At 38.4% G+C, this 14,199-nt stretch overlaps 1 protein-coding gene across 2 annotated transcripts in view; it reads left to right on the top strand.

The window, feature by feature from the left end:
- EYS (eyes shut homolog) overlaps positions 1–14,199 on the top strand; it is a 1,987,247-nt gene that overhangs the window by 1,953,863 nt on the left and 19,185 nt on the right. The window contains exon 42 of one of the 2 annotated variants that reach the window (NM_001292009.2): positions 11,389–11,451. The exons of the other annotated variant lie outside the window; for it this stretch is intronic. Within the exon in view, the coding sequence (NP_001278938.1) occupies positions 11,389–11,451 (63 nt within the window). The remainder of the gene's footprint in view (positions 1–11,388; positions 11,452–14,199) is intronic. 2 annotated transcript variants of the gene reach the window in all.

Here is a 14,199-nt window from a genome sequence, read left to right as displayed (position 1 = left end):
TTCAAAATTTAAAAACCTAGATGACACATGTACATAATCAATGGAATCTGCCAAAACCTTCTGTAAATAAGCCTTTGAGACTCCTAAAACATCCATAAATCTTCCTATACAATTTACCCAGCTTAATATTATTATGACACTTCCAAATAGCATAAGAATAGCATAAAAGAGAGCTCACTGTAAAAAATATATATACATATATATATATATATATATATATATACACACACACACATACACACACATATTTTTTAGTAGCCAAGATACTGACAGAAAAAGAAAATATGCCCTCTTACCAAGAAAAGAAAAGAAAATGGAAAAATTAAGAAGGGACAGGAAGAAAAAAATCAAAAAAGACCAAACAAGACTAGTCTAAAACATGACAAACGACTGCACATAAAACTAGCTTTGGGTTTCTGGGAAGTCTAAGCAAAATATAACATACAACAGGTTGCTACTCAATAAAAGAAAACATTCCAGCCATCACACCAAAAACAGAGCACTACGTCCTGGTACTGAACTCTAATAAAAATGTATTGAGCAAACTTCAATTTAAGAAAAGCAATTAAGGGCAGGCGCGGTGGCTCACACCTGTAATCCCAGCACTTTGGGAGGCCGAGGCAGGAGGATCACGAGGTCAGGAGATCGAGACCATCCTGGGTAACACGGTGAAACCCCGTCTCTACTAAAAATACAAAAAAAAATTAGCCAGGCATGGTGGTGGGTGCCTGTAGTCCCAGCTGCTGGGGAGGCTGAGGCAGGAGAATGGTGTGAACCTGGGAGGCAGAGCTTGCAGTGAGCCGAGATTGCGCCACTGCACTCCAGCCTGGGTGACAGAGTGAGACTCCCTCTCAAAAAAAAAAAAAAAAGAAATTAAACAATTATGTTATCTTGGAGGACAATTTTCTAGAAAATGAAGAGACTCTATATAGATGGCCATTTCTTATACTGACACACAATAAAGGCTGTAATAATATTATAGGCATAATATTCATAGTACTATAAATATATTGTCATAAGCTAAGTTAATATAGTAGCTTGCTAATGATCTGGCATGTTACTAGAATAATAGTGAATTATCTAAGGGAGAAATTATTTAACACTCATTAGATGGTTACTCTTGGATATCAATTGTGTCAGCCAGAAAATAGTCAAAAAATTAAAACTTAAAGTCCCTGTAGAAGTCCAGGTATCCTAGTTATTGATTGAAAGGATCACTATATGCTTTATTTTCTAGATTTATAGTTGACAAACTCGATGTTTTATTGCAAAAATTTTAAAGTTTACCTTGGCATCTGTTCAACCCCCAAATTGTGCTTCACAAAACATGGAATAGAACACCACATCCTAGAAGATTTTGGTAGCAGGAGTCACCAGATGTCTTTGCCTATCATAAAACAATCATGCGATTTTGTAAAATGCTTAATTTTTAAGCAACACATCATCCTGATGGGTTTCCAAAGATCATTCAGAACAAAATAGCCACCCAAATAACTAAATGACTTAAACTGTTAAGTAGAGTTGTTCAGCATTATCCATCTGAGTCCTGAGGAAAGTGTGCCTAAAGGGATGATTTTATTTTTTCTATAATTGATACTTAACCATTCCTTCTGTTAGCAATTAGACAACAGGTTTAATTGCTCATTCACACAACTCCCAGTGGACTCTGACAATAATCCATTCCTTCAGCAAAGAAAGATGCTCAGCTTTCATTTTTGCTACAGTAACTAGGTGTGTACCTAGTTAATTTAAAATTTGTCAGACTGCTTAAATTGAAATGGAGAGGTAAAGTCGTAACACTTCAAATAGTTAAGGATGGAAGAAAAGTTCTTTTTAATCTATTAGATTCTTATTGTGATAAAGCTTTAAAGAAGAGCTTACAAGCCAACATAAAATCATATGCACTTATCCATAGACCAAAAGGCAAATAATAGATTAATACATGCTACAAAAAGTCTTAAATTATTCTTACCTCTTTTTCTCTGCTAACTGAACAGAAAATGCCTATGGTACAGTAGAAGAGCTGTGGCTAAAGTCAAAATGTTTTTTATTAAACAAAATGAAATGAAAGTATTTTAATTAAGAATCCTGCAATTTGGTAAGAACAAAGTTAATTTTATCTGCAAAGATTATCCATTTAAACTCATAGCCTTATAGTATGTACAGATAAAGACCTGTTTATGACATAGACTAAGCTTTGAGTCCATCTTAAAGAACAACGCTCTGGGAATTAATCTATTTTAGAAATCTTGAGGTACACCACCAAGAACAGGATGATTTGGTAGCAAATAACCATCAGTAGGAATTGTTCAACTTAAAGTGATTAAATAGATGTGCTGAAATAATCAAAATTAGTGCATCCAAGGTAAGAGTGGTGAAATTCACAAAGCATATTGCAGAGCTTTAGATTTGGAGGAAAAAGTTACACTTTAAAAGTAGAAGTGCAGGTCAGCATAGATAGACTAGGAAGCTACAGGCTCTCCTTCCCCAACAAAGACACCAAATTAACAATAATATGTGGACCACAATTCCTCTGTGATAATGCTGGAGACCAATTGAGAATCTATAGCACTAAGGCTATTGTAAGACAAAGACGGAATTCCAGTGAAAGGTGTAGGAAAATCTGCGGCATTTGTCACACACATTTGTTCCCCTTCCTCTATGCAGCATCACACAGAGCAACTGGAAGGAATCCTCTATATGAGTTCTCCTCCCTTGGGACAGAAATAAACAGTAGAACATGAGTCCAATGTTCTGGCTTGTCTGAGGGCTGCCCAAAGGACTCATTTCTGTACCACCTGACTCAGAGTGCTGACAGTATTGACACCAGAATTCAGAAGCCACTGGAAACAAAGGTGGAGTGGAATATTAGAAATGCAGTTCAGCAGGCAGATTCCAAGGAGAGTAAGAGATTAGAAGGGTTTGAGAGGTCTTCCAGCTGGGCTGATTAAAGAAGGTCTTCTCCTGTACAAAGTCAGAATATAAAAACTGGGATAGAGGGTATTTTTCAAATGCTCAAACCCAAGCAAAAAATTACAAGGCATACAAAGAAACAGCAGAACATGACTAAATCAAAGGGACAAAATAAAACTCCAGAAATCAACCCTAACGAATGCAGATATATGAGCTGCTTAACAAGGATTTTAAATAACTGTCACAAGGATCTCAATATGTTAAAAAGATAACATAGGCAACTAAAGAAATCAGGAAAATTATGCATGAACAAAATAAGACTGTCAACAAAGATAAATAAACTATATTAAAAAACAGAAACCTATAGCAGAAAAATACAAAAACTGAACTGAACAATTCATTATAGGGGTTTAACAGCAGACTTGATCTGACAGGAGAAGGAATTGGCAAACTTGAAATCAGGTCATTTAAAATTATTGAGAGATTTGGGCAAGATGGCCAACCAGACACAGCCAGGTGGAACAGCTGTCACCAAGGGACTAGGACAAGTGGCACACAGTCCTAGCAGATCTTCAGAGGGAAGGCACTGAGAGCAGACTGAGGGAAGACACAGAAGCCAGGCTGAAGAGGGAGGAAGTTGGGACCCCTGGAGGGGGCTACTATGCACCAGTACTTGTTCCTGACCCCCAGTGACTCTGGGGGAATGGGTGAGTTGAACTGGCAAGGAACAACCCACTCTCACCACAGGCCTCTGGAATCCTGGCAGCAGGAGACCCCTTGACCACCACAGACACTTGAGTTGGCAGGAAAACCTGCTTGGAGAAGTGATGGGGAAGGATATCAGCCGATACAGAGCCCAGAGGGTTTGGAATGGGAGCATCTGTAGACAGATCATCAAGGCAGAAAATTAACAAAGATATTCAGGACCTAAACTCAGTACTGGATCAAACATACGTGACAGACATCTACAGAACTCTCCACCCAAAAACAACAAAATATACATTCTTCTCATTGTCACATGGCACACACTCTAAAATTGACCACATAATCAGACATAAGATACTCCTCAGCAAATGCAAAAGAACTGAAATCATAACAACCACTCTGTCAGATCACAGTGCAATGAAGTAAGAAATCAAGACTAAGGAAATAGCTCAAAATCATACAATTACATGGAAATTGAATATCCTGTTCCTGAATGACTCTGGGGTAAACAATGAAATTAACATAGAAATCAAGAAGTTCTTTGAAACTAATGAGAACAAAGATACAACACACCAGGATCTCTGGGACACAGCTAAGACAGTGTCAAGAGGATAATTTACAGCACTGAACACCCATATCAAAAAGTTAGAAAGATAGCAATTTAACAACCTAACATCACAACTAAAAGAACTAGAGAACCAAGAGCAAATCAAGCCCAAAGCTAGCAGAAGAAAGAAATAACCAAAATCAGAGCTGAACTGAAGGAGATTGAGACACAAAAAATCATTCAAAAGATCAACAAATCCAGGAGTTGTGTTTTTGAAAAAATAAAATAAAATAGACCACTAGCTAGACCAATAAAGAAGAAAAGAGAGAAGATCCAAATAAACACAATTAGAAATAACAAGGGGGATATTACCACTAACTCCACAGAAATACAAATAATCATCAGAGAATATTGTAAACACTTCTATGCACACAAATTTGAAAATCTAGGAAAAATAGATAAATTCCTGGATACATACACCCACCCAAGACTGAACCAGAAAGAACCTGAATCCCTGAAAAGACCAATAATGAGCTCCAAAATTAAATCAATAATAACTAGCCTACCAACCAAAAAAAGCCCAGGACCAGACAGATTCACAGCTGAATTCTACCAGATGTACAAAGAAGAGCTGATACCGTTCCTACTAAAACTATTCCAAAAAATTGATGAGGAGGGACTCCTCCTTAACTCATTCTATGAGACCAGCATTATCCTGGTACCAAAATCTGGCAGAGATACAACAAAAAAGAAAACTTTAAGCCAATATCCTTGATAAACATTGATGCAAAAATCCTCAAAAAAGCACTGGCAAACCAAGTCCAGCAGCACATCAAAAAGCTTGTCCACCAAAATCAAGTAGGCTTTATCCCCAGGATGCAAAGTTGGTTCAACAATAGCAAAGATATGGAACCAACCTAACTGTCCATCAACAGATGACTTTTGTACCAGTACCATGCTGTCTCAGTTACTGTAGTCTTGTAGTATAATCAACCTAAGTGTCCATCCACAGATGACTTTTGTCCAGTATCATGCTGAGAGATTGTGTCACCACCAGGCCTGCCTTTACCAAAGCTCCTGAAGGAAGCACTAAATGTGGAAAAGAAAAACAGGTACCACCAACTGCAAAAACATACCAAATTATTAAGATCAGTGACACTATGAAGAAACTGCATCAACTAACGGGCAAAATAACCAGCTAGCATCATAATGACAGGATCAAATTCACAAATAACAATATTAACCTTAAATGTAAATGTGCTAAATGCCCCAATTAAAAGACACAGACTGGCAAATTGGATAAAGAGTCAAGAACCCTCGGTGTGCTGTATTCAGGAGACACATCTCATGTGCAAAGACACACATAGGCTCAAAATAAAGGGATGAAGGAACATTTACCAAGCAAATGGAAAGCAAAAATAAGCAGAGGTTGCAATCCTAGTCTCTGATAAAACAGACTTGAAACCAACAAAGGTCAAAAAAGACAAAAAAAAGGACATTACATAATGGTAAAGGGATCAATCCAACAAGAAGAGCTAACTATCCTAAGTATTTATACACCCAATGCAGGACCACTCAGATTCATATAACAAGTTCTTAGAGCCCTGCAAAGAGACTCAGACTCCCACACAATAATAATGGCAGACTTTAACACCCCACTGTCAATATTAGACAGATCAACAAGACAGAAAATAAACAAGGATATTCAGGACTTGAACTTAGCTCTGGAGCAAGAGGACCTAATAGACATCTACAGAACTCTTTACCCCAAATCAACAGAATATACATTCTTCTCAGCACCACATCGCATTTATTCTAAAATTGACCGCATAATTGGAAGTAAAACACTCCTCAGCAAATGCAAAAGATGGAAATCTTAACAAGCAGTCTCTCAGACCACAGTGCAATCAAATTAGAACTCAGTGTTAAGAAACTCACTCAAAACCACACAACTGTGTGGAAACTCAACAACCTGCTCCCAATTGGCTACTGGGTAAATAATGAAATTAAGGCAGAAATAAATAAGTTCTTTGAAACCAGTGAGAACAAAGACACAATCTTTTTGTGTTTGTGTACCAGAATCTTTAGGACACAGCTAAAGCAGTGTTTAGAGGGAAATTTATAGCACTAAATGCCCACAGGAGAAAGTGGAAAAGATGTAAAATCATCACCCGAACATCACAATTAAAAGAACAGGAGAAGCAAGAGAAAACAAAATTCAAAAGCTAGCAGAAGACAAGAAACAACTAAGATCAGAGCAGAACTGAAGGAGATAGAGACACAGAAAACCCTTCAACAAATCAATAAGTCCCAGGAGCTGGCTTTTTGAAAAGATTAACAAAATAGATAGATTGCTAGCCAGACTAGCCAGACTAAGAAAAAAAAGAGAAGAATCAAATAGACACAGTAAAAAATGATAAAGGGGATATCACCACTGATCCCACAGAAATACAAACTACCATCAGAGAATACTATAAGCACCTCTATGCAAATAAACTGGAAAAATGTAGAAGAAATGGATGAATTCCTGGACACATACACCCTCCCAAGACTAAACCAGGAAGAAGTTGAGTCCACGAATAGACCAATAACAAGTTCTAAAATTGAGGCAGCAATTAATAGACTACCAACCAAAAACAGCCGAGGACCAGATGAATTCACAGCCAAATTCTACCAGAGGTACAAAGAGGAGCTGGTACTGTTCCTTCTGAAACTACTCCAATCAATAGAAAAAGAGGGCCTCCTTTGTAACTCATTTTATGAGGCCAGTATCATCCTGATACCAAAGCCTGGCAGAGACACAACCAAAAAAAGAGAATTTTAGACCAATATCCCTGATGAACATTGATGCAAAAATCCTCAATAAAATACTGGCAAACTAAATCCGGCAGCACATCAAAAACTTATCCACCATGATCAAGTCGGCTTCATCCCTGGGATACAAGGTTGGTTCAACATATGCAAATCAATAAACATAATCCATCACATAAACAGAACCAATAACAGAAACCACATGATTATCTCAATAGATGCAGAAAAGGCCTTTGACAAAATTCAACACTCCTTCATGCTAAAAACTCCCAATAAACTAGGTACTGATGGAAAGTATCTCAAAATACCACAGACTGGGTGGCTCAAGCAATAAAAATGTATTTCTCACAGTCTGGAGGCTGAAAGTCTAAGAGCAGTGTGCCAGAATGGTTAGGTTCCAGCAAGGGCTCTCTTCCTGGCTTGTAGACAGCTGGCTCTACCTGTGTCCTCACATGGTACACACAGAGAGAGAGCATGCTCTGTGGTGTTTCTTCTTATAAGGATACTAATTCTACTGGATTACAACTCCAACATCACAACCTCATTTAACCTTAATTACTTCAGTAAAAGTCTTATCTCCAAATACTGTCACACTGGGGATTAGGGCTTCAACATATGTATTTGGGAAGACAGAAATATTTAGTCCATAATATACATTTTTAAACTATTTTGGTCTTTGTTTCTTTGAAAATATAATAAGACCATCCAACATCCATCTAAATCACTTTCTTTCTGTATGAAGTACATTCTTTAAAATTTCCTTAGTGTTTGTTAGAGACATATCATCTATTACTCTTTATGTGAATAGGCATTTTGCTCTTTTACTTGAAAGTTTGTTTTTGACTGTGAAAGTGTGTTGACAGTTATTTTCTCACAACACATTGAAGATCTCATTGTCCCCTTGACTTCAGTTGTTGCAACTGAAGTCTGAATTCAAGTTGTTGGCAGGGCCATGTTCGTTTGAAGCCTCTAGAGGCAGTTTCTTCTTTTCCTCTTTCAGCTTTTGGTAGCTCCAAACATTCCCTTGCCTATAGGTGCATCACTCCAATCTCTGCCCTCGTATTAACATAGCATTCTTCCTGTGTGTCTGTGGCAATAATGGTGATTTATTTCTAATTCACCCTTTCACTGAGTGTATCTTTAGGGTTCCAGTTTTTTGGTGGAAAGCCTCCTTTTACATATGAAGTGATTTCTAGGCTTCTCTCTTGTCCACATGTCCTTGAACAGTTGAAGATTAAACTTTGGATTTAGCAGATTTGGCAAATATGCTCGAGGAAAAAGCTGGCTTTATCATTCTACTTATCTATTTAGCTTCTATTTTCTTTTTTCACCTTTTTTGGCATCTGAATATTCTTTTTTCTTGCCAGGTCATCAATTTATTGGAAAAGATGTTTTCAAATAATTTATCCAACATTTTTGGTGGTTTTCATGATGGAGATGAGGTAAATCATGTTATCTAATCTACTATACTGCTGGAAACAAAAGTCAACTATTGGATTTATTTTAAAAGAAGCCCATCTGGCCGGGCGCAGTGGCTCATGCCTGTAATCTCAGCACTTTGGGAGGCCAAGGCGGGCAAATCACCTGAGGTCAGGAGTTCGAGACCAGCTTGGCCAACATGGGGAAACCCCGTCTCTACTAAAAACACAAAAATTAGCCGGGTGTAGTGGTGGGCGCCCGTAATCCCAGCTACTCGGGAGGCTGAGGCAGGAGAATCGCTTGAACCCAGGAGGCAGAGGTTGCAGTGAGCCAAGATTGCGCCACTGCACTCCAACATGGGTGACAGAGCAGAACTCTGTCTCAGAAAAAAAAAAAAAAGAAAGAAAGAAGCCCTTCTGACCAGTATTGCATAAAGCATTAAAAACTATAGAAGAAAGTTAAAAGTGCTATGAGAGGACATTGCAAGTGGGAACACCATCACTTGGTCCCAAGTTTTGAGGAGCAGATACTGCTAGACCCTGATCAGTGATTTTAAGGGTAGGGAAGGGACACTGATAAAGAAAAAGGTCCTTCCATAGTAGTACATTTAATGTGCCAGCCTGTAACTTATCCCTCCATCCTCATTAAAGCAGCAAGAAAGAAGATAAAACAGTGTCCTTTTTCCTTTTTAAAATGCATTTGGTGTAAAAAATAATGAGGTATGCCCAATATCATGGTAACTCAAAGACAGCTTAACTGATGAATTAAAAATTAAAGTATGCTTGAACACAAGCAAGATATGGAGTATGCATGAGAAAAAAATACATTATAATAAAAAGAAAAGAGAAGCCACTAAAATATATTCATAATCCAAGTATTTTTATAGTTCATTATTTGGTGTGTGTTTTCAGGGAGTACTTCACTATTTTCAAAACCTAAAATGAGAAAATATGTCACAAAAGATGCTGCCTCATAACATCTACAAATCTTCTCATACCATTTCCCTCACTACTGCTGCCTCAAATTGCAACCTGGTGGCTCCAGACAACCCTCCTGTCAGGGACCTCACCCATTACTGCTAGAGACATCAAAGTGCCAGAGTTCAACTGTTTATTTTGTTTGTTTGGTTGGTTGTTTTTGGCAGAAGTGTGGAGATTTCTCTTCCTTTTTAGATTGTGCTTGCTTTGAAGAATACTCAAATGTTCTTCTTTAAACTCAATGTCTCCCAGAATCTTAGTAAGAATGACTCTTCTAGTATCTTTAATTGTAGTCTCCTCTACTTTCCTATGCTGAATCTGGATATAGTTTTGGAGACAAACGGTGCATCAAATTAGCAAACCAATCTAACTGGCAAATATCATGCAGCTCACAAAAATTGCCCTGTCCTTCCATCTGACAACTTGAATGCTTGGTTACTAGGCAAACCTGTCTGCAAAACTATTTCTTTGATATGAGTAATCTCCTAGGAAACTTCTAAGTCTTAAATGTAAGTAGATTTCTGGCAGACATCACCATTCTACCAGACATGCCCAACAAATATAAAACACAACAGAAGATATTACTTAGGTGCAAGCTGATACACCTGCCAAACTATATTTGAATTCTAATTAGAATTCTAATTCCTTCCTGGAAAATCTTACCCTAAGTCAGAGGTTGTCTGAATCACTGTGCAATGAGATATTAAATTTTTCCTGTTGTCTAAAAGTTCAGGCCAAGGCCTCAAAGTTAATAATAAGTATAATGTATACCCACAAGTCTAAAAACAGTTTATGAATAATGAGATATCACTATGCATCTACTGGAACACCTAAAATTAAAAAATAATGACAATGCCAAATGCTGGCAGGGATATAGAGAAACTAGATCCCTCACATATTGTTGGTTAGAATGTAAGATGGTATAGCCGCTATAGAAAAAAGTATGGCAGTTTCTTATAAAACAAAACATACATTAACCATACAACCCTGCAATCACATTGCTGGACATTTATACAGAAAAAAAAAAGAAAACTTACGTCCACACAAAATCACATACACAAATGGTCTCAGCAGAATTATTATAATAGCCAAATCCTAAAAACTACCCAAATGTCCTTCAATGGATGAATGGTTAATCAAATCTTATAGAATTGTCCCATGGAATACTGCTCAGAAATAAAAAGAAATGAATCAGGCATGTATTGAATCAGGATCTCAAGGGCATTATGCTGAGTGAAAAGAACTGATAGATAATCCAGATAGAGTATGCCAAGAGATGGTACCATTGGTCCATCATTTGCTCCCAGCCTATATTGTGGGGTAGGGGTAGTATCTAAGAGAACTGGTTCTGAAAAAAGGGGTTTTTGTTTTTTGGGTTTTCTTGAAGAGCATTATTGGCATAGGAAGAGGGGTTAGGATGTACTCAAAAAATGAGTGAGAAAGGAATCAAAATGTACTCAAAGAAAGTAAAGGCTCTTGCCACAAGGAAAGCCTAAGATTTCCTTTCTGGGGTTGTCAATTTCTGCTGAGCTGACATTGGCTGTGAAACAGGAGTGGAGCATGAGAGAACAAGATCTCAGAGTCAGACCTATGTCCCTGGAGTGACAGAAGACTTAAGACCAGTGCCTGACCCACATCCAAAGTAGCTTAAAGCCAAGAGGCTGGCTGTAGCTTTCCCTAAAAGCAAAGCCAGAGGTATAGCAGCTGGGGAACAGAGGTGCACACCAAGATAAGCAGGCATGAGTCACCTTAAAAAAAAACCTTGACCAGAAAGGTAAGTTGTCTCAAGAGGAAATGTGCTGGAGGCCTCCCACAAGAGCAAAAGCTGATTTGGATTCATAAATGGTCTGCCAAGAAGCATCAGCCTTGTCAAGAACTGCAGGACAGATGTACAAGTGAAGAGTTAAAGAGGTTTCAAAGATCCAAAGAGTGTCTGCCACGACAGAAGATATTAGACTGCTGATAAAGAGCCACAAATAGCAGCAGACAAAAAAGACCCTTCTCTTGTCTTCTTAGCACTTATCCTCATTGTGATCTTGGAAAAGCCAAAACCAGCAGAACGGAAAGTGAAGAAGGAGGGTAAGGACCAGTACAAACAGCAAAACAAAAACATACGACTACCCTGACTACCCTAGTACAGCTTTCTAAATTTGAGTCAGATGAGCTGTGGAAAAAGGATTGGAGCTTAGAATTAGGTGAAATGTTGACAGTTTGATTCAGATTGAACGGGGTCTCTTAGTACCTGAAAATGGGAACTTTTCACTGAAACCTGAAAATGACAACAGATCTAACAAATTTACCCAAGGTACCATCAAGGATGAGAATGAAAGATCTCACAGACATCTCCAAAGGGGAATCACAGGGGAAAATCAAGCTACTTATTGGCTGACTCCTACCAAGTTCAGCCCTTTCAATAAATTGTGACAAATCCTTGAATCTTTTTCTTGATCTTTGATATTATGCCAGTCTGTGCTCTCCCTGAAGCAATCTTTTGCTCATATTAAAAACATCTTCCTTTGATATTCCATATCATTTATCCTTAAGTGTTTTGAGAACACATATCTTTACTCAAAATATTGTTTTAGAAATCTATGGATTTCATAAATCAGATGGTACTTCATTGCAATCCAAGTGTTTCCACTTCACTAATCAGCCTATTCTATTTTCTTTTTTACTAGATGGTATTGGCCAGTTAATGCTGCACTTGTTAAACAGGAGTAAATATAAATATTATTAATCTCTCTGAGGGATTCTATTTATAATAAAGACCATAAAAGTGGTGATCATGAGTGAAGTTTGTGTAATTTAGAAGTAACTTGAATTATTAGTTATTATTCCTCTCAGAAAACTAACCACTAACGCTTCTGAAACAGCCCCTTACTCTGACCATCCCTGAAGCTATTGGCCAGAACTCAGTAGATCAGTTATCCAAGAAGAGCAGTTGTGGCGTTTTATTCTTAATTAACCTATATGGATTTCTAAAGTCTCCCAAAGATGATTCACTGCCAGAAAAACTTGGTATGAGTCACTGAAAACCCTGGACCTTTCCCAAATTCTACCTCAAAATGAACAACAGAGGAAACGTTGAGCAGCTAATTTAATGATGATAGATGCTACTTACTAAATCAGAGTCCTTTGAATCCTATTTGTGGTTTCTGTGAAGTCCTATTTGTGGCTTCTCTCTGCTTCTAGAGGCAGACCCATTCACACCCAAAAGGCATCAGAATTTTCAGTACTCAAGCTGTAAAACCTTAATGCACATAACAATAAAAGTATCAACTATCTATGCATTGTTTCAAAACACAGAATCCATTCTAAATATTTCTTCATCTATCTCATCTTTAAAATAGATCCATCCCTTATCTAGGAACATGAGACACTGACATTTTTAAACACATAGCTTTATTATAAGAATTTCAAACCAGGTGAGAGAAATGGGAGGTGCCAACTTATATTCAGCTCTTCAAGCAAAGTGTTTTGAAAACAAAAGTCAGGATCTGTATTAGTCCATTTTCATGCTGCTGATAAAGACACACCTGGAACTGGGAAGAAAAAGAGGTTTAATGGACTTACAGTTCCACATGGCTGGAGAGGCCTCACAATCATGGCAGAAGGCAAGGAGGAGCAAGTCACGTCTTACATGGATGGTGGCAAGCAAAGAGAAGAGAGCTTCTGCAGTGAAACTCCCATTTTAAAACCATCAGATCTCGTGAGACTTATTCACTATCAGAACAGCACAGGAAAGACCTGCCCCCATGACTCAATCACCTCCCACTGGGTTCCTCCCATAACATGTGGAATTCAAGATGAGACTTGGGTGGGGACACAGCCAAACCATATCAGGGTCTTAATTAACATCTGGAATATAGCATTTCAACCTAATTAGGACTACACTTCGTTATACACATTATCTTTTTGGAATTTTTGTGGTTCCAAAAGTGCTGAATATTTTCATGTAATCTTAAGTGCTATAAATAAGAAAATTAATACTTTCTGCCGGGCATGGTGGCTCACACCTGTAATCCCAGCACTTTGGGAGGCTGAGGTGGGTGGATCACGAGGTCAGGAGTTCGAGACCAGCCTGGCTAACATGGCAAAACCCCGTCTCTACTAAAAAAAAAAAAAAAAAAAATAGCTGGGCGTGGTGGCATGCACCTGTAATCCCAGCTACTCAGGAGGCTGAGGCAGGAGAATTGCTTGAACGCAGGATGTAGAGGTTGCAGTGAGCCAAGATCACACCACTGCATTCCAGCCTAGGAGACAGAGCAAGACTCTGTCTTGGGGGTGGGGGGAATAAGTTTACTTTTTAATTCATAAAGTAAAATAGTAGCAAGGTCAATGTTGAATTTCCTTGAAGTGAATGTTATGGTACATAATGCAGATCTGCACCCCACCCCTTTCTAAATGGAGGTACTCACTTCCTCAACTTTTGGGAATATTGCCAACAGAGAGTTCAAAGGTAAGTCCCTCACGAGGACTGAAGAGAGCTGCCTTGTCCAAGGTTACACCACCTCACCAGTGACAGCTTTAATCCAATAACTGTTTAAAGAGAAGATGACAGGAAGAGAGGGGTGCTCCAAAGACCTGGCCACTTTGCTTCAATGTGAAATGACTCTAAAGAGCTCCAGGGAGCTCCAGAGCTCCCTGTGAAATCAGCTGCCAACTTCTCCCTCTTGCTGTTTTCTCCCTCACACATGTTGCTTCCAAGCACACTCTCCAATAAACCTCCCATACACTAAGTTCCATCCCAGAGTCTGCTTCTAGAAAAATAACCTGAGACAGGAGGACACAGGAACCAGCTTGAAGGAGCTCTAGCTGGCCAAATCA

The sequence above is a fragment of the Homo sapiens genome, chromosome 6 (genome assembly GCF_000001405.40).
Source record: "Homo sapiens chromosome 6, GRCh38.p14 Primary Assembly".
Lineage (NCBI taxonomy): Eukaryota > Metazoa > Chordata > Mammalia > Primates > Hominidae > Homo > Homo sapiens.
Note: the sequence above shows the minus strand (reverse complement) of the source record. Positions and strands in the feature narration are given on the sequence as shown.